This window comes from Homo sapiens, chromosome 3 (assembly GCF_000001405.40).
Source record: "Homo sapiens chromosome 3, GRCh38.p14 Primary Assembly".
In the NCBI taxonomy this organism is placed as follows: Eukaryota; Metazoa; Chordata; class Mammalia; order Primates; family Hominidae; genus Homo; species Homo sapiens.
The window spans coordinates 65,997,998-66,025,788 of record NC_000003.12 but is presented as its reverse complement, the minus strand read 5'-3'; the positions used below and the strand labels follow the sequence as shown (position 1 = coordinate 66,025,788).

The window sequence follows — 27,791 nt, the reverse complement described above, 5'->3', positions numbered from 1 at the left end:
GAATTGCCCGTAATCCCACCCCAGAGAAATACATGTGTTAACACTATTTTTATCCAGACGTACACATACACACACACAGACACACACACATACACAAACAGAAACACAAACATATACTTTTGAAGATGGGGGGGCTTTTTCTTATGAAAATAAGACTGTACAGTACATGCTGTTTGGGTGGGAGTTTTCTTCATGCCTAACAGCATATCATGGACTTTTTTTGTTTGTTTGTTTTTTTGTTTTTTTGTTTTTGAGACAGAGCCTTACTTCTCTGTCGCCTAGGCTGGAGTGTAGTGGCACGGTCTTGGCTCACCTGTATCTCCTGGGCTCAAGCGATCTTCCCATCCCAGCCTACTGACTAGCTGGGACCACAGGTGGGTGCCACCGTGCCCAAATAATTAATTTTTTTTTGGGTAGAGACAGGGTTTCACTGTCTTGCTCAGGCTGGTCTCAGAATCCTGGGCTCAAGCAATCCACCCACCTTGGCCTCCCAAAGTGCTGGGATTACAGGCGTGGGCCACTGTGCCTGGCCAATCATGGACTTTAAAAAAATACTATATGTAGATCAAGTTGACTATTTCAGTGACTGCAAAATTTATTTTTGGTTACTTTATAATATAATAAGCTCTACTTTAAGGTTGAACATTTAGAGTGTTTTCAGTTCTCTTTTATATAACATATTGATGACTACCCTCATACATACATTTTAGCGAACATCTTCAGATATTTTCTTTGGATAGCTATCTAGAAATAAAGCTGTTGGCTCACATGAATTATTTCTTTTTAAGGCTTTTGGTATCCATCATCATTTTACCCCCCCAGAGAATATATTAACTAATATCCCTTCTGGCTGTATATCGAGAGTCCTGTAATTTTTCACTTATCTCACTTGTAAAGATAATACCTTCTACTGGAATTGTTTATTTATGGTGGTCTTCACAAGTCAGAAACTGAGTAGTTTTTTGTTTGTTTGTTTGTTTTGGAAACGGAGTCTCACTCTTGTTGCCCAGGCTGGAGTGCAATGATGCGATCTTGGCTCACTGCAACCTCCGCCTCCTGGGTTCAGGCAATTCTCCTGCTTCAGCCTCCCGAGTAGCTGGGATTACAGGCATGCACCACCACACCCAGCTAATTTTGTATTTTTATTAGAGACAGGGTTTCACCATGTTGGCCAGGCTGGTCTTGAACTCCCGACCTCAGGTGATCCGCCCACCTTGGCCTCCCAAAGTGCTGGGATTACAGGCGTGAGCCACCGCGCCCGGCTGGATACTGAGTAGTATTTTAAAGGACAATTAGGGAGTGGTGGGGACTAGGATTACCTGGAAGGGCTTATTCTGTTCAATGGGAAAAGCTGCCATTCTGCTTTGGCCTCTTGCTGCCATGTAGGAACATTGGCCCGGTGTTTCTAGTGTAGATTTTTCAGGTTTTCAAGAGAACCAGAAGCCTGTTCTTTTTTTTTTTTTTTTTTTTTTTAATGAACTTTGCCAGTTTTAAAGCACTGGTTCAAAGTTTTCTTTTTTTTAAAAAAAGGGTGAACCAAACAAAACACATCTGGGAGCCATATTTGGTCCTCAGATGACAAGCTTGCAATGCCTTGTTTATATATTTGTCTCTCACTTGGTTTCTCTCATACTTCATCTCTCCAAAAGCAGTAATTGCATTACTCTTTCTGTATTCTCAGGGCCCAGGATACTGACCAACTCACAAAAAGGGTCAGGAAATGTGTGTTGAAATGAATAGTACATTTTGGAAGTGGTCTACTTTGGCATTATAGTCCATGTAGGTTTATTTGAGGCCCAGCTGGTGACAGCTTTCCAATTCAAGTTATGAAGAGCTGGGGAGAGAGCATATTTTGACAGCTGATCATAATTCTTGGAATATTTTGTCCCAGGGCCCTGGTCTGCCGGGTCTTAGAACTGGGTGCAAAGTCACATCTTGAAATTGATGTTCACGTGAATTTGAGTTCTTAGTACAGGAATAGAATCTATTCTCTGCCCTGAAGTGATTTGATTGTGAAATGTGTAGCTTTACCAACAAGAACGAATGAAGTTTATGTATACCATTTAGGGAGGTTTTAAATTTGGCAGGAAAGTTCCTAATAATACAACTTGTTTGGACTTTTCTATAGATAAATTGGGACCCTAACCTTTACCCCAGGAGTGGACAGTGTCAGAACATGATTAACCTCTAAGACCGGTAGTCATCTGTTTTTCAGTGCCAGCATTACATGGTAGAATTTTGTTTTTTGTTTTTTGCAAACCAGTGTAGCCCTTCTTGCTTTCCTGCCTGCATAATGGATTGTTCTGCATTGCATAATTCATGTCGGGCACCAGGTTTGCTGCACTAGGATGAGGAAAGGGATTCAGGTAATTCAGATGAGAAATTTAGTCAGTGCAGTTTTTTTTCTATCAAGGAGCCAAGAAAGGTCCTCTATTAAATTAAAACTATAAAATTGTCAGCAAAAGTCCAATGCAGGGTTAAAATCTTACTTGGTTTGGACTTGTACTGTGTGTCTTTTCTCTCCTTCTCTAGTCCCCTTTCCCCCTCCATTTCCATATCAGAATGGAACATTCCAATAGACTGTCTAGGAATTCAAATTTTAGATAGGATATTCTATATGTAATCCAGAACTTCTGATGTGAGATGCAACTTAGGAGAGTTTTCAAGTTTAGACTACTGTATGCCCCGATCCACTTCCTTCATTGTGGTCACTGCTTTTGGAGCACCCAGAAGTCCCCTAGCTTGGCGTGAAGTTTGACTTCTTTCTGCTACTATAAAATGCTCAAGGATAATGTGGCACAAAAAGCTTATATTTCATGGTGTTTCAGGCTGGGCGATCCCAGGTTAAATTTCTGTGCTTTCGTCTTTGTTAAAGAGTTTAGCCATGTCACAGTGCAAATGCACAGTTAAGTTCCTCCACAGTGTATATGAAACCTGTTTTATTTCAGTTAGGATTAGCAGAGCACTCTAGCTGACCCTAAGTGAACTCTAGGTACATATGTGATAAATGCATATTGCTATATGCCACTGAGGTTTCGTGATTGTTAATTATATGGCATTATAATGGCAATAGGTAACAGAGACAATGAGATTCCATGTTCGAATGGCTGACACGTGTCCAAAAGCTATGGGTTAATTTGGGACTTTGAATCTTGAGTTTAGGCAAAGATGGAAAAAAATCCCCAGTAATTGTTCATTCCAGTGTAAGGACAGCAGATGAGACTGTTGTTTCGGATACCTACATCCAAGGAAATGTCCTGGCTTCTGCCTATTTGAATCTATGAGCCACATTTATTAACCCTATAAATTTATTTTTCTTTTAAAATTAAAAAGAGAAAACTTTTGAAGACACAAAGTGTTATCTCAATATTGATATATTATACATGTGTCATTATTTATAAGAGAAAAATCGGGAAAATAGGATGCCCAGCAAAGGAAAAATTCATGTAGCTGTTGCCTAGGTATGTCTCTTCAACTCCGTGGGAAAATACTGCCATAGGGAAGAAAGGCCCTGGCTTTCTTAAGCAATGTGAATTTGTTTCTGCGACATTTTAGCTAAAAATGTAAGCTCAAGATATTCTGTGTGAAATAAATTATCCCAAAGAAAGATAATTGTGAGAAGAAGCCATTAATGGGAATAAGACAGCTGGTTGTAAGGATTGGAGGCTTTTTTTTGGTGGAAGGAGCTTATCCATGGGGTTTAATACAACATGGTGAGTCACCCTGTTGCCTGAATTCCAGAGGGGAAAGAGACATTCGGGAAAAGGCTGCGGGGGAAATTTGCAGTCCTGTGCACCTGTTACCAGGCACTTATATTCACCTGATGGCTGCTAACAGATTGCAGGCACAGCTTCTTGAAGAAAATCATCAACTTTGAACACAGTACCCCACACATTGGATTTGGGTGAATGGAAAGTATATCAGAATTACCTGGGAGAGTTTTCAAGTTATAGTCACCGGGGCGTGGCTTTATTAGTGATTCTGACTCATGTCTCCCTGCTCAGCACAGTCCTGATACTCCACCTCCAAAGAGTGGTCCACAGAACAGCCACTTACATAGAATCAGGCAGGGTGTTTGTTAAATATGGGGATTACTAGACCCCATCCCAGACCTACGGGATCAGAATCCTGGGGGTGTGGACTCTGTGAATCCAGTGTTTAAAGGTGCTCTGGCTGAATGTGGCAAGTCCAGCGTGTGATGCTCCAGGCTCTAAAATATTGGCCTTTCTTCCAGTTATCTAACAAGTGATGGTAACAGACCCCACTGTACACTCGAATGAACACTGATTGTGGGAGGCAGTCAAGAATAGAAAGACAAATTGAGTTATTTGAGCTGCAAGTTCTTCTAGGGGGCAAATGCTAGGTGTGTGCATATGTGTTTGTGGAAGTTCATTTTCTTGCTTCAGGGTTTTAGTAATTTAGAGGGACCTTTTCCTCTGTACCATGCTTGCCCTTTTAAGGCAGAAAGGGAACTCCGGTGGAAAGACAGCATTGACTAATAGAACTTTCTGTGATGATGGAATATTCTTTATCTACACTGTGCAATATTTTATTCCCTAGCCACATGTGGCAATTGTGTACCTGTAATGTGGCTGAGGAACTGAATTTTACATTGTACTGACACACAGTTTAAATCTATCTGCTTGTGGCTAGTGTCTACCGTATTGAATGGCACAGAAGACAGTGCCTCCACAAATAGTGAGGACAGTTACAGATCTTTGGTGTCACATCCAGCTGCTCCAAGACACGGTTGGAGTGATACGTTGGGTTGATGCTTCTTAACTTTGAAAGCTTGGGGTAGATCATGTTTTAGTGTCCTTTGGCCTTTTTCTTTTTAATCGGTACATTTACCGATGACAGTTTTCTTAAGCTCAGCATATGGTAGTGCGCTCATTGTCCCAGGTGAAGTAGGTTAGGGGTGATGTTTTCTCCTGTTGACTGCTCTGTCTCCAGCACCTGTAATGAGTGAATATAATGGATGACTGAAAAGTGATTTCAACTTGAGTATTTTATGCAGGGTGGGAGACTCTGTGTTACCCCGAGGTTGTATAGTTAAACTGTTGTATCACTTGATGCTTTTGGTTATAATTAATTTAAAAAATGCAACTCAAATGGCTTAGGTAGCAAAGGAGATGAACTGATGCATATAACTTAGAATTTCAGAAGGATGGAGCTTCAGGTATGGCTCAATCAGCGTATGGGTCCAATTTCTCTGTAATTTGCTTCAGAGCTGCCGATAGTCTGTATTGACTACCTGTGAAGATACAACCTACATATCTGTAATGGACAGCCTTGATTCTCTCAGAGCTGCTGTTTTCACCCTCCTCCTGTCTTGAGCCTCAAAATGGCTCTTCTTTTTGAGATAGAGTCTCGCTCTGTCACCGAGGCTGGAGTGTAATGATGTGATTTTGGCTCATTGCAACCTCCAGGTTCAAGCGATTCTCCTACCTCTGCTTCCCAAGTAGCTGGGATTGTAGGCGTGCACCACCATGCCCTGCTAATTTTTGTATTTTTAATAGAGATGGAGTTTCACCATGTTGGCTAGGCTGGTCTCAAACTGAGCTCAAGTGATCCGTCTGCCTCAGCCTCGCAAAGTGCTGGAATTATAGGCGTGAGCCACTGCGCCCGGCCAAGATGGCTCTTATTTGCAGATGGATAACAGGGGCAAACGGGTGATATGCCTTGTTACTCACAGCCAGGGAGAGAGAGACCCAGAGGAACGTCATGTACTGTGTGCTGAATGCCTTAGTTCTGCAATCCCTAATCATTGATGCTTATGCAAATTGGTGCCCACTTGCAGTAACGGGTGGGGTCAGTCCTTATCTGGGCCTTTTGACTGTTGCACTGGGAGCAAAACATGGTTCCCTAAGGAAGAGGGAGGTGCTGTTGAGAAGAGAGAAGCCATGGAATAGATGCCAGGTCAAGTAACCAACTGATCCCCACTTCTGACAGCTACCTCCAATGGGATGGTGGATTTAGAGAAAGGTCAAATTGGACAGGTGCCATGGGAAATTTAATTGCAATTGAGTATGGATGAGGTAAGAGTGGACTCCTTGGATATGAGTTTTAACTTGACCCGATGAGTTAAAAAATACAGCTCCCATTTATTGATCATTTGTTACCTGAGCTCTTGTCAAACTCTCCACAGACACTATCTTATTATTATTATTTTTGCAACAACTTTGCAAGTAGATAAAATTTAACCCATTTTAGTGATGAAGAAACCAAGTCTTAGAGAGGTGAAGTAATTTGCTTTAACTTAACAGCTAGTAAACTGCAATTCTAATCTGGTTCTAATTGCAGAGCCTGTGCTGTTAAATAGTATTCAAGATCAGTGGTTTTCAACTGAGGTAATGTTGCCTTTCCAGGGAACATTTGGCAATGTCTGAAGACAGTTTTGATTGTTACATCTGGGAAGTGCCACTGGTATATAGAGGGGTAGGGGTCGGGGTACTGTAAACATCCTTTAATGCACCAGAGAGCCCACTGCCAACAAAGATTTATCTGGCCCAAATGCCAATAGCAGCAAGATTGGGAAACCCTGCCTTCTAGTTCTCACAGAATTCCCCATAGATTCACTCACCATCTCCTGAGCTCACTTTATTTTCTTCTTAGCTCTCATCACCATCTGAAGTTAGCCTGCCTATTATCTGTTCCACTGGAGTGTAATCACTTGAGAGCAGGAATCTGATCCATAATCCATGTATTCTACTCTCCTTATGGCCAGGCAGTACCTGGCAGCTGAGCAGCATAAACATTTGTGGAATGAATGAGTGAATGAATGAACCAATCAAGATGGCATCCTTCTTGGTGTGGGTAGGTACCTTCCAATTGGATATGGCTCAGGGAAGATACGAGAATTTACCGGAAGCCTTGAACAGTTCTGGGGAACAATGGAGACACACTGTGGCTTCCCAAAGGGAAGAGCGAGAGGTGATCAGACAGCCAGTTCTCATTCTTGCAAAACTTGACAAGCAATGACTTGAAAGAGGAGGATGGGAGGTAAGTAATGAGACCAACCCATGCTGTGCTGAGTGAGGTGAGAGTCAGAGCTCAGGTGGCTGATTAAGACCCCGAGCACTCAGAATGCAGAAGGCTGCAAAGAGGGTCACCAGCCCATCAGCGGCCACCAAAGGCTGTACCAAGTCCACCTGGAACCTAGCCACAAGGGATGGTGATCATGATCCATGTGAGGCAAGATAGTTTACTGGTTACAGTGGTCACTGGCCTATTTTCAATTCCTTCACCGGCCCTTACCGGCTGTGTGACCTTGATCACTTGCTTAACCTCTCTGTGCCTCAGTTTCTGCATCTATTAAAAAAAAAATGCCTGGCTCTTTGTGCCTGGCTGGAGGCCACTTAGCCTAGAATTTTGGAATCCCAGGGTTTAACTCCTGGCACTGAATACCCTTGTTGGAAGGTAGAGAATGGGATGTCACCTCTGGGGTACTAGAGTATGGCCAAATGCTGTTAACCAGGCAGTCAGTCTTTGGAAGAAAATACTCTGCTTTTACATCCCCTGGTGGTAGCAGAAAGTTACACGTGTGAAAATATGCAGGGGCTGCTCCTGTGTGTGTTGGGGTGAGGGTGTAGTGGAGGTTAAAGGTATTTTGTTCCAGCCAGGCTTGTAAAAGAAAACAACATTAAATGGGCATGTGCAGACACCCCCCCCCCCCACCAAAGTGTCCTTCCTTATCTTTGTCTCCTGGTTGTGTGTTCATGAAGCACAACCACCAAAAATTGTGGACCGCATCTCTGACCAAGATCAAAGGAGGAAAAATAAATGAGTCCAAGACAAAGCAATTTACAGATATTAATTCCCAAAGAAGAGTAAAGATGTTTGCTTTTTCTCTCAGCTTGTTGGTTCTCAGCATTCTCATTGTTTAACTATTCTAATGGTTTCTGCCTCCTTCTTTGTGTTTTCCTAAGAGTCCTTTCTTTTCAAAGTTGGGATGACTTCCAGCTCTCACCTGCCCAATCTGTCCTGTCACCTGGCTGTTGGGCTTCATGTATGAAAGTGAAAACCGAGGAGAGTAGACCTATACGGATGATAACAATAGTGGAGCTTGATTTAGTGCCTCTCTACTCAGGCTTTGCACTGAGGGCCACACGTGCACCATCCTTCATCCTTAGCACGTGCTGTGAAGTGTGTGTACCATCCTCTCCAGTTTAGCGGTCAGAACCCTGAGCCTTGGAAGTTGTTACTTGTCTGAGATTAGGTGACAGCAGATTAGGTGACAGCGGTGGGTTTCCTCTAGCTTGGTGTTCGTCAGGAGGCTGCATTGTTGCCTGGTGACAGGTGGCAGGATCCCCTTCAGGGTGTGATGTACCATTGTGTGAATTAAGGGTAGGTGACCCCCTGGAGTTTGATCTGAAGAAAGCTGAGGCCAGGCACCCTTCCTTGCACCCTCCGTTGGGAGGGAGACGTTGGTGCCTTGGCGATGGTTTCACTGCGAGCCTGGCTCATTGCAGCGCGGAGCTTCCCGGTTTTTCCATCTGCAGCCGCGCCCTGCGCGTGTTGAGACACAAGTGCTTGCGTCTTCCCGCACTGACTAACTCCTACTTTCTCCTTGGGGTTCCCGGCAGTGCAACTTGGCACTTCATGAACGTAGCAAGGTTCTATGAGACTTAAACAAAATTGTGGTAAAATATACGTAACATAACATAAAATTAACCATTTTAATTATACAATTAAGTGGCATTAAGTATATTCAGGTTATTATGCAGTTATTACCACCATCCATCTCCAGAACTTTTTCATCTTCTCCTACTGTGCCTATTACCAACTCCCCATTCCCCTTTCCCCTGGCCCCTGGTGACCTCTAAATTTCTTTCTCTGTGAATTTGACTACTCCAGATACCTCATAAAAGTGAAATCGTACAGTGTTTACCCTTTTGCGACTGGCTTATCTCAATTAGTGTAATGTCCTCAAGATTCATCCACGCTGCAGCGTGTCAGAATTTCCTTCCTTCTAAAGTCTGAATAATATTCCATTGTGTATGTACCCCATTTTGCTCACCCTTCATCTGTTGATGGAGATTGGGTTGTTTCCACCTTGTCCTATTTGACTTTTATCTTCCCACTCCCCTTGGAAGCAGGTGGAGTCAGATTTTCTTGATGTCCTGACCTCCTCCATTCTGCTTTTCTTTCTTGCTCAGTTTTGCCTGACTTTCCCTGGGTCTCTCCGGAGCACCACTTACCCAAAGTCTCCAGCTCCGGTGCTGGGGCACATATTGCCAGAGTAGAGCCTTGCCAGCAACGTGTCCTCGTCGCTTCTTTGCAAAGGGTGTGTGTATTGGTCAGCTGTTCTTCGGTCCCGCCATCAGCTTTGACCCAGTCGACCCTTCCACCTTTCTGGCTTGGAGGCTGTATGCTCAGTAATTATGTGCACAGGATTTGAATTTCATGTAGTCCGGGTTCAAATCTGGTCCTGCTGCTTCCTTGCTATGTGGCCTTGGGTACATGTTTTTACTTCTGTGAAGTAGCAGTAATAAGAGCACATATCTTATATGATTGCTACAGGGATTCAATGAAATGATGCAGTCAACTCTCGGCATGGAACACAGAGCAAAGGCAACACTGAATGACTGATAGTTATTACCATATTAATTTTGTCAGTTTTCCTCCTTTGAATCTGATCACTTGATTCTAGGCTTGTGGAGGCGCTGAATAGACTTCGTAATTGACTCAAAACACTTCTGTTTTAACACTCTGGGTTTTTATCTTCTTTCCTGGCACCACTACCTCCTTTGAGATTTTATAGAGCTGAATTTGTTGGACCAAATTATATGGAGCATATTTGATAGAAACACATTCTAAGTATACTGTCTTTATGTCCTCATGTTATTTCCTTTCGATTTCTTGAAGTCTCAATTTAGTCACCACTCTGTAGGAAGCTACAAATGATGATAGAGCAATTAAGTGATCCCTGAGTCTTTAGTGTTCTAGAATGATTGATGTACAGATAGAAAGAGAGAAAATGCGTATAGACATTTTCCAATAAACTTTATGTCAGGGTAGTTTCCTGGTTTGGTCAATTTTTCTTTCTGTTGATTATTCCAGTGTAGATGGGATAAAAATTAAGCTACTAGACATTTATTGCTTATAAACTTTTTGGCATATTTAAAAAATATCATCTAATTGTTATTTTAAGGCAGTAGCTATAGAATATCTAGCATATATGTACCCCTTACTCTATGCCATCCTTTGCTGGAAGTGCTTTTTATCAACTCATTTACTTCTCAATCAGCTCTATGAAATGTGTTATAATCATTCCCATTTTTGAGAGTAGGAAATTGAGGCACAGAGGAGTTAAGATTTTTTTTTTTCACTGCTGTTAATGGTAGGCAAAGTTGGGAAACAAACCAGGTTCTTAGGTTCAGGCTGGGAGGGGGTTGGCTGCGTCCACAGTTATCAATGAGGAAATGGATGCCTGCAGGACGTAAGGTGCTTTACTGGGCTCAGCAGAGCCAGGGCTTTATATCCAGGTCTTTTATATATCCAAAGCTTATTTTTATTTACCATAGCTGTCTTAATTTATCAATTAGTACGTGTGTATTATGTCTTTGTATTTCTATTTTTATTTTTTAGATTTTTTTTTTTTTTTTTTGTAGAGACAGGGTCTCACTGTATTGCCTAGGCTGGTCTTGAACTCCTGGGCTCAAGCAATCCTCCTGCCTCAGCCTCCCAAGGTGCTGGGATTACAGGCATGAGCCACCCTGTCTGGTCTGGGAGAGGGTGCTGGGTGAGGGGATGGTGGTGGGGCAGGATTAAACAGTGCTGCAGGCATTCCCAGAAGGAAAAGATCATGTAGCGATGATTTGTTGTCAGTTAGGGTTAGAACTGGCCTTAAGGGGAAGGTAGTATTTGTCTGTAGGATATTTATAGAGATGGGGTGGAATGTTATTCTAAGTGGAGGCAACAGTGGGAGCAAAGGCCTGGAGGCAGGAAAATTCCAAGTGTACCATGGACCCAGAGTGTCTTAAGTTAACATTTAAGAAAATGACGGAATGAGATAGCATGTGTCCTTTACCAGCCTGGCAGAATTTCACAAGTGTTTATTAACTCTTGGTCTTGAAATGATTTGATAAGGCCTCTTTGGAGAGTATTGAGAAGAACCTATTAAAAATGGTAACATTTTGACCTAGCCTTTCTACCACTAGAAACCTATTCTTTGGAAATACTCAAACTCATAAAAGATATATGTGGGGCTGTGTTCTCTATATAGCATTGCTTGTAAAGACAAAAATTTCAAGTTGGCTTATATGTGTTGTGGGTGGTTGAAAAATTATATGGTATCTCCCTACAGTGGCTTATTCTGTAGTCAGTTAAAAAAGTGAGGTGGATCTCTGTCCTGACATGTAAACAGATGATGATATATTAAATAAAAAAGTAAGAGACAGCATCTATAGGATGATCCCATTGTTATATCACAGCTACTGCTGACCTGGTTGGGTATGCTTGTGTGTGCCTTAAAAATAAAAAAAGATCTGGAACAACAAGGATATGTTCCCTGTGGCTACCTCTGAGAAGGGTGACCATATGTCTCGGTTTGTTTGGGAAATATCTGGTTTACACCTGTTGTTCTGGTATAATTATTAATAGTACCCTCTTTCAGTGTTTGGTGAACTGCTTTGGATGGTGAATTATGTGTTTACCCTACCTTCCTCTGAGGATTGGAATTGGGGCAAGAGAAATGGGAAATGGGCTGTGACATAGGTGACTCGTTGGTGTAGTTTACAGCAAGCAGGTATTATTTTTATGAGGGAAATTGAGGAAGATGGCCCTGATACATTATGTAGTGGTTCACTGCGGAGCCACCATTGCATGGTCTTTATCAGGGGAGAAGTTACCTTTTTTCTTTTCGTCAGGTGTATGAGTATCTCCGTTTTACTTAAATAAGTCTTCAGTCAAATCATTGACGATGTTTTCATTGTCTGAGAAAAGTGGGTAGCATTGGCCCTAACATGCTTTTTCAAATACCTAGTGGGGATGTTTGCATTTCTTTCTTTCTTTTTTTTTTTTTTTTGAGACAGAGTCTCACTCTGTTGCCCTGGCTGGAGTGCAGTGGTGCGATCTCAGCTCACTGCAAGCCTCACGTCCTGGGTTCAAGCCATTCTCCTGCTTCAGTCTCCCGAGTAGCTGGGACTACAGGTGCCCGCCACCACGACCAGCTAATTTTTTGTATTTTTAGTAGAGACGGAGTTTCACTGTGTTAGCCAGGATGGTCTCGGTCTCCTGATCTCGTGATCCGCCCACCTTGGCCTCCCAAAGTGCTGGGATTACAGGCTTGAGCCACCGAGTCTGGCCTCTATCTTTTTCTTTAATTTGGTTCCAAGGTAGTTGGATTGAAGTTCTTTTTTTTTTTTCTTTTTTTTTTTTTATTTGAGACAGAGTTTCACTGTATTGCCCAGGCTGGAGTACAGTGGTGCAATCTTTGCTCACTGCAACCTCTGCCACCTGGGTACAAGTGATTCTCCTGCCTCAGCCTCCTAAGTAGCTGGGATTACAGGCATGTGCCACCATGCCTGGCTAATTTTGTATTTTTAGTAGAGATGGGGTTTCTCCATGTTGGTCAGGCTGGTCTCAAACTCCTGACCTCAGGTAATCCACCCGCCTCGGCCTCCCAAAGTGCTGGGATTGCAGGCGTGAGCCGCTGTGCCCAGCCAGAATTGAAGTTCTTCTTTGGGAAAACAGCACACCTTTTTAAAAAATTTAAAACTGTGACCCTCCCCACCCCTGGGTTCCTCAAACATAAATTTAGACACAATAGGAGTTAAAATGATTAAATGAGCTACATGCAAACTATTGACCTAGAGTGGGCTTCAGAGTTGGCTAGGTTCCTCTTTTCTTTGCTTCCCAGTAAAACCCTAGAGGAAATGGGGATGGGTGGGAAAGAGCTGCAGTTAAAAAATAGCAGTGATTCAGATTTACCGGACATTACAGGGGCACTTCTGATGTGCCAGGCACTGTGCTAGATGATTTCACATCTGTCCCCTTATTTATTCTTTTTTTTTTTTTTTTGAGATGGAGTCTCACCCTATTGCCCAGGCTGGAGTGCAGTAGCACGATCTTGGCTTACTGCAGCCTCTGCTTCCCAGGTTCAAGTTGTTCTCCTGCCTCAGCCTCCCAAGTAGCTGGGATTACAGATGTGTACCACCATACCCAGCTAATTTTTGTATTTTTAGTAGAGATGGGGTTTCGCCATGTTGGCCAGGCTGGTCTCAAACTCCTGGTCTCAAGTGATCCACTCGCCTCAGGCTCCCAAATGGTTGTCTGTTTTTATCTCTCATCCATTTCTACCTCTGCTTTTCTGAAATTAGCTAGTTATTACTGAGTCTTAATATTTTTTTTTTGTTTCAAGGTAAGACTGGTGATATGGAACTTTTAATACTACCTCTTCTCATATTTATATTTATAGGAAAAACTTGGAATGAATGTTTACTGCATAAAGTATAGTTTGTATTATTCATGTTGAGTGGATCATGGTGTAATTCCTTTTTATTTGCCCTCTGCTAAAAAAATAATTTCTAAGATGTTACTTGATAACTTGTCCAAGAAAAGTTTACTTAAAAGTTTGACAGATTAAAGCCTGTATGCATCTGGAAGTTTGGTGTTTTGGGTTAACTGAGCATAGAATGTTTCAGTGGCTGTCATTCTTTTGAATTTGAAGGATGTAACTTTGAAATACCATTTTGTTGCCCATCCTAACTAAAACAAGCAAAAGCAAATCGATATAGACAAGGTTGTGTGATGTAGGGGGAGTTACAGCTAAGGAAAAAGGAAGTATTGGACATCTGTTGGGTATCCTATTGCCCTTTAAAAAAGTTAACTCATTTTTTTCGCTAGAATTGCATTTTACTTGACCTTGAAAAAAGGACAATCCAAATAACTTAATACTATTACCTGGCCATACTTCACTATCTCTCATTCCAGTTTTTTTTTTTTTTTTTGGTTCAGCATATTGTCTGGCTTCCTGGAAAGCAAACTCAGAGATGATTACCATATAGGACATTGGTTAGGGAATGCTTTTGGAATCAATTCCTGTTGAAGGAATTGGGCTGGAGGAGAAGTTAGGCTGTGAAGTCGTCTCAACCAAGGCCCAGCCGACCTGCAGGAAGCTCTGACATTGAGATGGTTCTTCAGTATTGTCCTGGGTTGGGATGATAGGGCAAGGCTTGTATACCCTCAAGTCAACAAGGATTGGAGGCGGCTGTTCTGGGAAGGCTATGTGACCTCAGGGAAGGTGACTCTCTGCAGCCAACACAAGTCTTGGAGGGGGATCCTGGAGGCGGGTGGCATAGTACAGCATAGTGTTCACTGCATGTGGGCATATGACATAGGGGTGTATGTTTGTGTGTGTGTAATTGGCTTAATAAGCACCACCTTCTTCAGTAACATGACCAAGAACACACATCTGGGAAGTGGGTGTGCTTGGATTTGAGCTCATGTTTGACTAGCTTTCAAACCTATCTTTTCGTCGCTCTAGGACTGTTGCAACGTTTGTTGTCGAGAAAAGAATACTTGGGCCGTTCCCTTTCATTTTCCCTTTGGCGCATTTATGTGTGCTGCCATGTGGGGACACCCTTGAAGTTAGCTGAATTGGCTTCCTCTGGTATCTCCAACCTTTTGTCACAGAGAGTTGAAAGGAAAGGTAAATTCTTTTGTCCTAAATGAATCATCAGCTGGAAGAAAAGTCTGAACTCTAGCCCTCTATTATATTCCCCAGCCAGGGATGACTTTGGGCAAATTGGTGTCCCTCCAGTTCCCTGGGAAGGCACTTGACTCAACAGGCCTCTTTCCATTTAAATACCACAGGTAACACTTGGCTTCCTCTGAGAAAGCTTTCAAGTCCTGCCCCTTTGCTTACAGCTGGCTGGCATTCTGTGTACCCACTACGGCACTAGGATGAGACCGGCCATAAAATATTTGCTCTATGCTTTTATCACTGCCTGGAAATCCTGAGGGCAAAGGTGCTTTGTAAACACCAAGTTGGTAGTGAGTGGTGTGCAGAAAATTTGGAAATAAACACAGTTCAGTTCATGTAGGGGTTATGGGACTTCTCCAAATACCACAAACTGGAAATTCTGAAAAGAAAGTTAGATTTTATCAAAATTTGGGTGTTTGGGATTTTCAAAGAGCTGTCCTACTAATGACATCAGAGCCCCATATAGCCAGAGAAAGCTTCGTTTCATTATAATGGTGTAAGTGAGGAACGCCTAGAAGTGTGCTTGTTTTCAGCCTCTTATCATCTGCCGGCCTGCACCCTGGTCAGAGGATCAGATTCTTTCAAGAGGCAGTTTCTTTCATTCAGCCTTTTACTTGAGTGAAGCAGGCTTGTTGGGCATCAGTGAATATCATGCTAAGAGTTCCGTAGTTCAAGGAGACCTAGAATAAGGGGGAAAGCACTTTGTGAATTGCCCAAGTTATTGCCTAGGGATATGCATATTGGGAGCCCTGAGGAGTGGCCAAGGCACCACAGAACAGAGACTCACACTCAGTACCTGAGCAGGCTCCTTACTTTCTGTATACTTTTTGTTGTAAAATGGAGTTAATAGCAGCACCCATTTCATAGTGTTATTGTGATGACTTACTAATACATGTGATGCTTAGCATTGCTTAATGTTGTGGCTAAGCATTTTCTATATGTTAGTCGTTATTGTTTTTAAAAATAAACAATGATTCTTTTTTTTTTTTTTTTTTTTTTTTTTTGAGACAGAGAGTATCACTTTGTCACCCAGGCTGGAGTACACTGGGACAATCTCAGCTCTCTGCAACTTCCACCTCCCGGGTTCAAGCGATTCTCCTACCTCAGCCTGCTGAGTAACTGGGATTACAGGCACCCACCAGCATACCCATCTCATTTTTGTATTTTTAGTAGAGACAGGGTTTCACCATGTTAACCAGGCTGGTCTGGAACTCCTGACCTCAAGCAATCCACCTGCCTCACCTATCTCGGCCTCCCAAAGTGCTGGGATTATGGATGTGAGCCACTGCACCCAGCCAACAATGATTCTTTTAGGTTGAAGAGTTAATGTGCTCATGAGGGCAGGTTGAGAACCACAGTGCTGTGTAAAGATATACATTTTTTATTGAACACCTACTATGTGTTAAGTTTCATGCTTAGAGCTTTGTAGACACTACTGTTTAATTCTCTCAGTAACATTATTATGTAGGTATCGTTAGGCATTCTTAGGAACCTTGGAAAGTTTACCTTGTGTAGGTAGTCAGGGGTAGAACCAGGTCTTGAATTCAGATATTCCTTACTTTTTTTATTTTGAGGCAGAGTTTTACTCTTGTCGCCCAGGCTGGAGTGCAGTGGCATGGTCTTGGCTCACTGCAACCTCGGTCTCTGGGGTTCAAGTGATTCTCCTGCCTCAGCCTCCCGGGTAGCTGGGATTACAAGCACCGGCCACCACGCCCGGCTAATTTTTGTATTTTTAGTGGAGACGGGGTTTCTCTGTATTGGCCAGGCTTATCTCGAGCTCTTGACCTCAGGTGATCCGCCTGCCTCCCAAAGTGCTGGGATTATAGGCGTGAGCCACCGCACCTGGCCGGATATTCTTTATTTTTAAGAATCTGAAGTACTATGCATCACTCCCTCCAATGTCCTGGGGCAGCCACCAGGCATATTCATCTTTGTGTGTGTTTTTCTTTTGCTTTAGCACTGGGGCACTTCTTGCTTATTTCTTTGGTAGGAAAGGGGCTCAGTTTGTCTTGTGGGGTTGGTGGCAGGCAGGCCGGCTTACGCCTGATACGGCCCTGGGTTAGAAGGGAAGGGAAGATAAACTTTTATACAAATGGGGATAGCTGGGGTCTGAGACCTGCTTCCTCAGTAAAATTCCTGGGATCTGCCTATACCTTCTTTTCTCTAACCTGGCATACCCTGCTTAAAGCCTCTCAGGGCTTCTCTCTGTTCTTAGGATCAAAGTATTTAGAGCTACAAGAGCCCTCATGGTCTGGCCCCTGCCCCCCGGCCAGCTTCATTGTACATGTGGTGTTCTCTTGTCGTTCCTGTAATGTGGTATGCCATGGGGTCTTTGCACAAGCCTTTCCTCTTTGGCTGGACACTGTTCCCTGCCCCCCCATACTCTTCCTACTTAATATGTAGTCATCCTGCAGATTTCAATTCTAACATCATTTTCTCCAGGGATCCTGGCCTGACAGAATCTCATCTTGTTTAATGCTCTCATAAGACCACTTGTTTCCCTTTTGCAGCACTTGCCACTCAGTTGTATCTTTATGTGCGTTTGTGGTTGTATGGGTTGTGTCTGTTCCCCAGAATGCCCAGCTCTGAGCTGCGTGAGGGTCAAGGGCATTGCTGTGCCTGCCAGGTATAGTGCCTACATGTGGTGGGTGCTCATGTTTTAGAGACTAAATGGAGGAGGAGATGAGGAAAAGATTGAAATCTCTCGGTTCACCAGATGGTGTAGGGCCCAGCATTGTAAATTCACACGTTGACTGTGCTTGTGAATTATCTGGGGATGCAGGTCCTGATTCAGTAGGCCCAGGTTGGGCATCTCTAACAAACTCCCACGTGATGCTGATGCTGGTCCTATGAACTATACTAAATAGTAAGAATCTATGGAGCCAGGCTGGGCATGGTGGCTCACACCTATGATCCCAGCACTTTGGGAGGCTGAGGCAGGCTGATCACCTGGAGTCAGGATTTCAAGACTAGCGTGGCCAACATGGTGGAACCCCATCTGTACTAAAAATACACAAATTAGCTGGGCATGGTGGCACATGCCTGTAGTCCCAGCTACTTGGGAGGCTGAAGCAAGAGAATCGCTTGAACCTGGGAGGCGGAGGTTGCAGTGAGCCGAGATCAGGCCACTGTATTCCAACCAGGGTGACAGAGTGAGACTCTATGTCCAAAAAAAAAAAAAAAAAAAAAATCTATGGAGCCAGATAAGCTCCAGAGGACTAGTGTGTGGGGCACACATTCTTCCCTCCTCCAATTTAGTATCTTTCCTTCTCTTCTGCCCTAAGGAAAGTATAGCAAATACACTGAAATGGTTATTGCTGTACTAGGGCTCATCTCACTTATGAGCTATGTTCCTTGTTGTCTGCAGTATATTTTCTTGTTTGAGTCAAGCCCATCCATATTACTGCTACCAGTTCCCTTGATAAATGGTCCTGAAATGTTTCCTCGGAAGCATCAGCAACAGACCTACTGACAACAGCTGCTTAGGATGCAGTTAAGGAATTTCTCTTCAGCCTTGCACCATTTCCCTTATCCTGCACATTTATGCTCTTGAGTTTCCTCTTCCTCGCTCTCCTCCTCCTCACTAGAGTTGGACTGTGTTGGTGACATGCTGTGTCCAAGTGTTTAGAGTCAATTCCTGATTTCTCAGGCAGCGATTAGATTTTGAGTGTGTTGCTCAGCTTTCCTGCTTTTTGGCTTCCTAATTCTTCTGTTTACAACTTGATTCTTACCTGTTAATGATATAGGAAAAGAGACAGTGTGTCATTGGGAAGATAGGATCGCCGTGGGGCTTAAAGGAGACAATGAGATAGAACTGATAAAGTTCTACCGAGGCAGGTCCAGGGACTCCTTCCCTCTTGAGCGCCATGGGACCCAGCATCTGCACTGTACCCTGAGTGTAGTCAAGCTTAATAGACTTTACGTGACATATGTGATCTTCAGGCCAGGTGTGGTGGCTCACACCTGTAATCTCAGCACTTTGGGAGGTCGAGGTGGGAGAATTGCTTGAAGCCAGGAGTTTGAGACCAGCCTAGGCAACGAAGTGGGACTCTGTTTCTACATAAATAAATAAATAAATAAATAAATAGCTGGGCATGGTGACATGCACCTGTAGTTCTAGCTACTTGGGAGGCTGAGGTGGGAAGATCACTTGAGCCTAGGAATTTGAGGTTGCAGTGAGCTATGATTGAGCTACTACATTCCAGACTGGGTGAGAGAGTGATACTGCATCTCTAATAAACAAAACAAAACAAAACAAAACAAAACAAAACAAAACCATGTTCTTCAAAGAGAGGACCGCTAAACCAAGAAAAAACTGAAACAAAAATTTAAAACTCATAATCCCATTCCCCTGTTTTATTTATGTGTCTGTGTGTTGATATGTTTTTATGTCATACTTTCTTTAAACGACAGTATTATATGTGACATCATTAGAAACCTCCTTAAAGTTCTGGTACCATAGGATGATCAGAGTCTAAACAGATGAAAAAGCTTTACTTCAGCATTGCCTAGGGTTTGACATATGCTGAAAATAAACCATTCTAGTTTGTCTTACTCATATGTATATGTATAGACACATATACATACCCATACACACATATATACATATATACCTACACATAAACACATATACATGTATACCTATATGTGTGTATATATGTGTCACAAGTGAAAAGTTACTTGTTTGACTTTAGGAGAAGCTTTTAAGACTTTAACATTTGAAATAAAATGCTGGGCAACTTTCTGTCTTTAGAAGGTGGGATTTCATTTTTTGTCGTATCCAATACTGGCAGTAATAGTTTTTCAGCCTCTCATGAGTTAATTCACATTTGCTGACATTATTCATATAGCAGCCAGCCACACAAGTGCTTCCATACTGGTTGCTGGTTCCTGTCTGGTGGACAGCTAAATCCTCATGAGCAATAGACAATAAGGGCTAAATGAATGTGATAGATTTCTGTTTACTTGGCTGTGTCTGGTAGTGGTAAAGTCACAAATTTCAGTGATGGGAAGAATTGAGTTGTCACTTAACAAATTACTGATCTCTCTAAATATAATTTTTTATCAGCTCAACATAACCCAAGTAAATCCAGAGTTTTGAAGTGACTGACTCGAGGCCCAGTGTGTCATTCAAAGAAATCCAGTCCAGGAACCAACCCTAGAAGTGATTGCAATCTTATTGGAAGTCAGGTGATTCCCTTTTGCAGCCCTTCCTAAGTGCCCTTTCCCTCTCTGTTTATTTGTCATCATTCCATCTCTAGATTCCTGGTAGATCCATGGGAGATGCATGGAAGATCTCTTTGTGGTATGTTTCTTGTCCTCTACCAAATCTCTCCCTGGCATGGTGCTGCCATTCCTTTTTGTGTCATCTTCTTTCCTTGTCTTTGTCCTTCAGCTATTTTCTTCTCTCCCTTTGATTTCCCCCCTTCCACTCACACACACTGATGGCCTCAATATGTATAGTAAGACACAAGGGGAAGGCGTGGGAGATTTAGGAATGGGGTTAGTGCTGAGTGGGAAGTGCTAAAGATTTTCTTAGTGGGTGAGGAGAGGCAAAGAGGCTGTGAATATTGATTTTGAACAGCTGAGGATGAGGCTGTTACTTATAAGATGAGGATATTATCCTGATGGGAATGGTGTTCCTGCTTAGTGATGTAACCAGAAGTCTGAAAGGTGGGCCTATTTTGTCCTTAAAACATAGGAAGAGCCTGTAGTATCATTTTTAGGTTGAGACAAAAGAAAATCAAGATATGGGCCACTCATTGCAGATGATCTTCTCTGCCTCCCCATCTCCTGCTTGGCCCAAAAGCAGCCTGCTGGGAGATGCAGCATTATTGAAGACTGTGGTCTCCCTTGCAACACATTCAAAGATCTGTAGGTCACATTGATTCTTAGTTAAACCTAACCCACAGCTTTGCATATGGGACTGCTTTAAAACAGCTGCCCTCTGTGATCCATTAAAAATAAAAAAGCCATTTAACATGGCAAATTCATAGTTTCATAGATTTTATCTTGATGTCATCTGAACTTTGGAATTATAATTCAGCAGATGTTTTAATACTCTTGTACATTAAATCAGATGTCAATGGGATACAGAAGGAACCAAGCTGCAATAAAACAGCAAAGGTATATACAATAATATATGTTGAGGACCCTTCTAATTGTTGCCAGGAGTAGTGTTTGTAATCATGGCTTCAAAGGCACCTTGGTGGGCTTCTGTGGCTAAAACCCCATTCTTCTAGCTCTCTCCTGTGATCTTTTGCCTGTCAGAGTTTGCTTTAAATCTGCGATAGTCGAAGATGCCTGAGACTCAGAATTTTTGGACTTACCTTGTTCATGGGATTTCATCTATCAGTGGTTTGTCTGCAATGGCAGATTGCATTTTTTTCCCAAAGTTGGTGGCAAAAAATAGCTCCCATGCCAGATACAATGTGAACTTGACTGTGCTTCCATGGGAGTGGGGAAGGTGATGTCTATATACCATCCTTTTAAACCTGGACAGACCTTTGTGATTATCTGGACCAACAGAGTATGACAGAAAGTCACACCATGTGACTCTTGAGGCAGGACCGTAAAAATGCCATGTGCTTCTGCCTTGCTATCTTGGGATGCTTGTTCCTGGATCCCAGCCACCATGCTATGAGGAAGCCCAGACTAAGCCCACACAGAGAGACCACGCAGAGAGGCCACGTGTAGGTGTTTCGGCCGACAGCCAGTGTCAACCTCTAGACATGCGAGTGAAGATGCCTCCGGATATTCCAGCCTTTAGCCATCAAGTCACCCCCAACTGAAGCCCCAGACACTGTGGAGTCAAACTGTCCCCATTTCTGTCTGACTTCCTGAACCACAGAACCGTGAGCATAATGAAAGGGTTGTTTTATGCCACAAAGTTGAGGTGGCTTATTTTGGAGCATTAGTAACCAGAGAGAGAGAATGAGGAAAGTCCTTGGCTTCTAATAAAATCCGAGCAGGATTTTTTTCCCCACATCTGTTTTGGCGAACAGGAGCGTCAGCTTCTGAATTGTTTTAGATAGTCTCACAGGTATAAAGGAAGTAGCATTTTAGTTTACAAAGGGGGTGGGAGTAGATTATTGTGATGTCCCCCGCCTTCTCTTGTTACTATTATTATAAACAAATAAACAGCTTGTCTGAGTGCAGTGGTGTTTACAACTGGTTGGTCACAACTGGTTACAGATTTCTTTGTTCTTTCTCTACTCTCACTACTTTACTTGACTAACCAAAAACCAAACAAACAAAAAAGTGAGAATTTGCTCTACACAGTTACCAAGTTACCCTTAAAAACAGTTGAAGCTGGCCAGGTGCGGTGGCTCACGCCTGTAATCCCACCACTTTAGGAGGCCGAGGTGAGTGGATCACTTGAGGTCAGGAGGTCAAGAGCAGCCTGGCTAACATGTGAAACCCCATCTCTGAAATACAGAATACTAAAAATACAAAAATTAACTGGGTGTTGTGGTGTGTGTCTGTAATCCCAGCTACTCAGGAGGCTGAGGCAGGAGAATCTCTTCAACCTGGGAGGTGGAGGTTGCAGTGAGCCAAGATCACACCATTGCATTCCAGTCTGGGCAACAGAGTGAGACGAGGTTTCACCATGTTGGGCCAGGCTGGTCTCGAACTCCTAACCTTGTGATCCACCCACCTTGGCCTCCCAAAGTGTTGGGATTACAGGCATGAGCCACCGTGCATGTCCTGCCTCTCCTCTTTAACCTTGAATCAACAAGCCAAATCTCCACTCTCCATTACTCTGTGGCTGAATTGCAGTTGCTGTGGTGTGTCCTTGTCTCCACATGGGGAGGTGGTGGCGAATGGCTGGTAAGAAGGAGAGGGAAGGAGGGAAGAGTTTGTATTAGGGTTTATGGCTGCCCCTGTGACTCTGCTGTTCAAGGGGAAAGGGCTTTGTAGTTTTGCACCAACTGCCCTGTTCATCTTCACAGTCTTACAGGTATCAAAGTTATCTCTTCTTCTTTCATATGTTCAGGGCAGATGGATCAAAGCAGTTCAAAGGGAAGTTTTGCCTAAATACATGACTATAGATCTAATACTCCCTGGGACTGTGTATATGTGTGTGTATGTAGTGGTTGTTGTTAATTCCAGCTCTGTACTATTAATAATTCTCCTGTTAGTGTCAATCATTAGGTGCAATTTACCTGTCTGGACAAATGGCCCTTACTATGCTTGTTGTACCTGAAAATACCAGGAAGGCCACCTTTGAAGTGCAGTGAATCAGAAGCACTATTTTTGAAAAATAGGCCAGGTGCAGTGGCTCATGCCTGTAATCCCAGCACTTTGGGAGGCTGAGGTGGGCAGATCACCTGAGGTCAGGAGTGCGAGACCAGCCTGACCAACATGGAGAAACCCTGTCTCTACCAAAAATACAAAAAATTAGCTGCGTGTGGTGGCGGGTGCCTGTGATCCCAGCTACTCGGGAGGCTCAGGCAGGAGAATCCCTCTACCAGGGAGGTGGAGGCTGCAGTGAGTCGAGATCGCGCCACTGTACTCCAGCCTGGGAAGAGAGTGAGAGTCTGTCCCCAAAAAACAAAAAAAGAAAAGAAAAATAGTCTATGTGGGACAGGTGAGTTTTAAGCAGCATCAAGTCATTTCAGAAAAGACAGAGATCTTCACCACCACCCCCCACCCCATGAAATGTCCCTAATTCCTACCTAAGAGCTAGATCCTTACAAATAAAATTGGAAATGGTAGTATTGTGTTCTGTATGTTTGCATTAAAAGGAAACAAAATGTCAAGTGATTAAAATTGGTACCTCAGGGAATTATTTATTATAGAAACATTTAATGCAGTGAGATCTCCCCTCCCCATCCAGACGTGTTTTTTTCTTTTCTGCAAATTTGCCCAGTGTTTCTGAAAATGCGAATTTAAAATGCCTTATTTCTAAGCTAAATATTGAAGTTAATCCTTACCTGAGGAGAACTAATGCAGGCCCCTTTATTGCCAAGAGATTTTTGTGCTTGGCATTTGTTTTTGTTTATGAGACTCAATCTATGAAATTGAGGCAGGAAGCCTGTCAAGTGGCTTCAGAAGGTCTGAGCACACTGGGGCTTATAAGACTTGAGGCGGGAAGTGGTTGATCAAACCTGAGCTTGCTTTGGGAACAAGTACTGAGGCAAGGGGAAGGTTTGGACCTTGCTAGTGATCATATAGGATCACTTTTGTTTAATATATGTGAGAGCTTTCAGCTTCCGTGTTTTTCTAAAGGCTTTAACAGCTTGGCCTGTGGACAAGCAATTATTTAATTAAAATTGGCACAGATGTCCAAAATTTTCCATTGTTCTTCAGACTACTTGTTTTTTGTTAGGTAGACACATTGTTATGAACTGGACAGGAAGCAAAATTGGAAGGGCAGGTAGGAGCAGCTGTTAAGGCCACGGACATGTAAGTTTCTGCATTATATAGGGTTGGGGTCTGCTTATTTGTCATGTGATTTTAAGCCATGTTATGTAACCTGTCTGAGCCTCAGTTTCCCCCTGTATAAAACAGGGATAATTATCGGACCTGCCTCCTCCAGTTGTGAGGATTCAGAGGGATCTTGTCTGTCAAGTGTTTACATTTTAGATTTTTATTGAGTCCTGTGAGGCTGATACTCTTTTCTTTCTAGCATGACATTGCAGTCGTTTTATAAATCTTGGCATATCTGAACTTTGGTCTGTGGATAAGTTGGTGGAGGTTTTAGTGGTTTGGATCTAGCATAATCATAATAATTTTTAGATATTATATATCTTTTTTGAATATTCAAAGTTTATTTTAAAATTTTCTTTTTGAAAACCTCACTGAGGTGAGTTCTTTACTCCTGGGAGGTCTTCATCCCCCTTCACCTATTCCATCCTAATCGAACCAATTCCTACTTGTTCTTCAAGACTGAGCTCAAATACCATGGCCTTGAGATCCTCCACCCCCAAATACTTAGGGGCCTTCTCTGGGCACCCTGAATTTGTTTCTTCTAACTACATTCTATTATTTTCTAAAGACCTTTCTGTCTCCCCTATTTGATAGCAGGTCCCTTGAAGAGAATAATTTCATCTTTTCCATTTTGCTATGTATCTCCAGCACCAGGACAAGACATCTTTATAATATCTTAATACATGCCGACTGCAACTTTTGGAGCTTCAATTTCCTAATTGTTCACTGGGTCATTGGGATGACTAAATGAAATAATGGCTGTGAAGCACTTTAGACAGGGCCTGGCCTGCCATGGGTTTTCATTAAAATTGGTGGGCTGAGAGGATAATAATTGCTGCCCTTCTGTAAAAGCCTGATATGAAAGGTTTAGCCTGTGATGCAGGATGTTGCCCTGCCATGGACAGGAAGTAAACACCCATTAACTGCCCATGTTGGGCCAAGCCCCTTGTGCTGAGTCCTGCCCCACCATGGGGGCTGAGCAGAGCTCTCTGGCTCACCTGCTTCCTGGTTGAAATACTCCAGTGTGGAATACCTTTCATCATGTCTGGTGCCTTTGGACAGTTTTAGCTTTTATTTCCCACAAGGCCCATCTTGTGCCATTATTTACCCTTGGTAAGTAATCAAGGTAGAAGCATCACAGTATATGTGTTGGGATTATTTTTGCCTTAGTCGTATTAGGTTTAAAAATTTTTTTTTTTAAACCCTGCGTTTATTTCAATAAGAAAATTTAATTGGGGTAGGAAGAAAGAGATGGAGAAATAGAGATTAAAACAGAACATCACCTCCCAGCCTGGTTTCTTGAGCCCAATTGGAGGCCTTAAAAGGCATCTGGGGAAGGAATGTCAAGCTGTTTTATCATTAAAAGGGAACAAGGGCTGGGCGCGGTGGCTTGAGCCTGTAATCTGGGCACTTTGGGAGGCCGAGGCGGGCAGATCACGAGGTCAGGAGATCGAGACCGTTCTGGCTAACACGGTGAAACCCTGTCTCTACTAAAAATACAAAAAGAAAATTAGCCGGGCATGGTAGCGGGCGCCTGTAGTCCCAGCTGCTCGGGAGGCTGAGGCAGGAGAATGGCGTGGACCCGGGAGGTGGAGCTTGCAATGAGCCTAGTTCGCGCCACTGCACTCCAGCCTGGGGGACAGAGCGAGACTCCGTATCAAAAAAAAAAAAAAAAAAGCGTGGGGGGAACAAGACCTGATTAACCAGAGTACATTTTCTCAAGATATGGTTACCTAGTTTAACTAAAATGTCAAGTTTCTTTACTTTTAGGTAGAGTAAGGTTAACTCTGTGTGGTTACAGTGGCTCTCTCGGGGGCAGATAGGTTACTTATTAGTTCGAAAGCACAATTGGGGAACACAGACTTCTCGAACTGGGCTGTATTTGCAAAACATGATGCAACTAGTTCTTAATGGCAAAACGATTGTGGAGCATTGGTGTGTCCTATTGTGGCTTAAAAGGGAACTTAGCAATCAGATAATAAAGAAAGGAATAAACCAACATTAATACCATGTGTAGAAAGTGATTTGAGATGGAGAAAACGATTAACTTCCCAAGGTGGTCTGAAAGTATATGTTAAAATAGACTTGTTTTATTCATGGAATATTTCACCATATATTTGCCATAAGGCCTGAAGACTCTGTTAGGTGCTTTTCCCATTTTTTTCCCCTCACACTTGAGGGGTAAAGAAAGATATCGGTAGGTCATAATCATTTATACATGTGAAATTTTGATATTGCATATGCTTGGCACATTGAAAGTAAGCATATCAGTACCATAGATGAGGAAGCATATTGCTCCCAGATTTTATTGATTCTTTCTCATTTCTGCCTGTCTTTCCTCTCCTTATCCCCCTAAATTATAATTTCATTGAAAAAGGGCTTCTTTTCAACACACACTGGTGCCTGTCAGGGAGTGCGGGGTTGTGCGGAGGAGAGCATCAGGAAAAATAGCTAATGCATGCTGGGCTTAATACCTAAGGGATGGCTGATAGGTGCAGCAAACCACCATGGCACATGTTTACCTACCTAACAAACCTGCACATCCTGCACATGTACCCCGGAACTTCAAATAAATTTTTTTTTTAAAAAAGGGATTCTTTTATAGCCCTTACCTTGAGTGATAAAGGGTCAGAATGAAAAGGTACTTCTAGAATGTAATGCGATTTTATCCCCATTTAGATGTGATTCTATTCTCTGTTAAGAAATGAAATAACTGTAAACACAATATGTAAGTGAACTGTTAAACTACTTCCATTAAATGTTTCAAGTAATGGAAATACATCAACACTAACCCTACAAGCTATGTGCCTTAAAAGTTCATAGCCTCATTTTTATGAGCTTCAAGGCTTTTTGCATTAGATGAAAGGAATAGTACCCTGTAAAAATTGGTATCTTATGGGCTTGAAGCTTTCACCAGCATTTTAGGAAAGGAAAGGGTAAAAAAAAAGAAAAACCCCCCAAAAAAACCATCAAATGGTTTCAGAGTATAATCTACAAATGGGATAAGTGATCATTATCTTTTGGCTCTAGTCAAATAAGGAAGGCCTAACAGATTAGTCTTGGTCTCTTAAATCTTAACCTCTAAATATGTAATTTTTATTAAAGGAGTATATTCTAGAGTAAAAACTAGGCTTAATACTTGATTTGTTGCAGAATTGTCACAATTAATGGGTTTTTGCAAGTGCTAACAAGTTGAGTCTTTTCATTTGTTACTTCAGCAAATGTTTATTGAGAGCTTGCTGTATCACTCATTTCTTGGCACGAAAAAGCTATGTAACAAACTACCCTAAACTGTGTGGCATTCAGCATGAAGTATTCTCACACTCAGGGGTCTGCAAGTTGACTGGGAAACTGTGCTGTATGTGTCTCATTCTGCAGCCTGGTCCTGGGACTGACATGACACACTGTCATTTCAGCACATACCCAGAGCAAGTCAGGGAAGTATAGTCTTCCCATGAAGGCTGGGGGAGGAGGAGGGAGAGAATATTTGCCAAAAAAAATAACGGAATCCACCACAACTACTGTTTGTTTTTTTTTTTTTTTTCCCGAGACAGAGTCTAGCTCTGTCGCCCAGGCTGGAGTGCAATGGCGCAATCTTGGCTCACTGCAACCTCTGCCTCCCGGGTTCAAGCGTTTCTCCAGCCTCATCCTC

General features: G+C 42.7%; 1 protein-coding gene and 1 long non-coding RNA gene across 7 annotated transcripts in view, besides 5 other annotated features; both read left to right on the top strand.

Annotated features, from left to right (window-relative positions):
• Positions 1–27,791, top strand: part of MAGI1 (membrane associated guanylate kinase, WW and PDZ domain containing 1) — a 685,393-nt gene that overhangs the window by 13,130 nt on the left and 644,472 nt on the right. The gene's annotated exons all lie outside the window — the stretch shown is intronic.
• The window catches only part of LOC124900543 (uncharacterized), a 55,600-nt gene continuing 29,283 nt past the window's right edge, over positions 1,475–27,791 (top strand). The window contains exon 1 of the long non-coding RNA XR_007095951.1: positions 1,475–27,791. This exon is cut by the window's right edge and continues 22,042 nt beyond it. This is a non-coding gene — a long non-coding RNA (uncharacterized LOC124900543).
• Positions 14,416–15,008: an enhancer, noted in NCBI's record as "OCT4-NANOG-H3K27ac hESC enhancer chr3:65996456-65997048 (GRCh37/hg19 assembly coordinates)". NCBI's record gives its function as "activates a minimal SCP1, AML or CMV promoter by ChIP-STARR-seq in primed H9 embryonic stem cells {active_cell/tissue: H9 hESC(primed)}" and the evidence as "EXISTENCE:reporter gene assay evidence [ECO:0000049][PMID:30033119]".
• Positions 14,601–14,895: a silencer, noted in NCBI's record as "tiled region #976; HepG2 Repressive non-DNase unmatched - State 14:Gen5'". NCBI's record gives its function as "represses a minimal TATA promoter and a strong SV40 promoter by Sharpr-MPRA in HepG2 cells {active_cell/tissue: HepG2}" and the evidence as "EXISTENCE:reporter gene assay evidence [ECO:0000049][PMID:27701403]".
• Positions 15,923–16,423: an enhancer, noted in NCBI's record as "H3K4me1 hESC enhancer chr3:65995041-65995541 (GRCh37/hg19 assembly coordinates)". NCBI's record gives its function as "activates a minimal SCP1, AML or CMV promoter by ChIP-STARR-seq in primed H9 embryonic stem cells {active_cell/tissue: H9 hESC(primed)}" and the evidence as "EXISTENCE:reporter gene assay evidence [ECO:0000049][PMID:30033119]".
• Positions 25,177–25,691: an enhancer, noted in NCBI's record as "H3K27ac-H3K4me1 hESC enhancer chr3:65985773-65986287 (GRCh37/hg19 assembly coordinates)". NCBI's record gives its function as "activates a minimal SCP1, AML or CMV promoter by ChIP-STARR-seq in primed H9 embryonic stem cells {active_cell/tissue: H9 hESC(primed)}" and the evidence as "EXISTENCE:reporter gene assay evidence [ECO:0000049][PMID:30033119]".
• Positions 25,692–26,206: an enhancer, noted in NCBI's record as "H3K27ac-H3K4me1 hESC enhancer chr3:65985258-65985772 (GRCh37/hg19 assembly coordinates)". NCBI's record gives its function as "activates a minimal SCP1, AML or CMV promoter by ChIP-STARR-seq in primed H9 embryonic stem cells {active_cell/tissue: H9 hESC(primed)}" and the evidence as "EXISTENCE:reporter gene assay evidence [ECO:0000049][PMID:30033119]".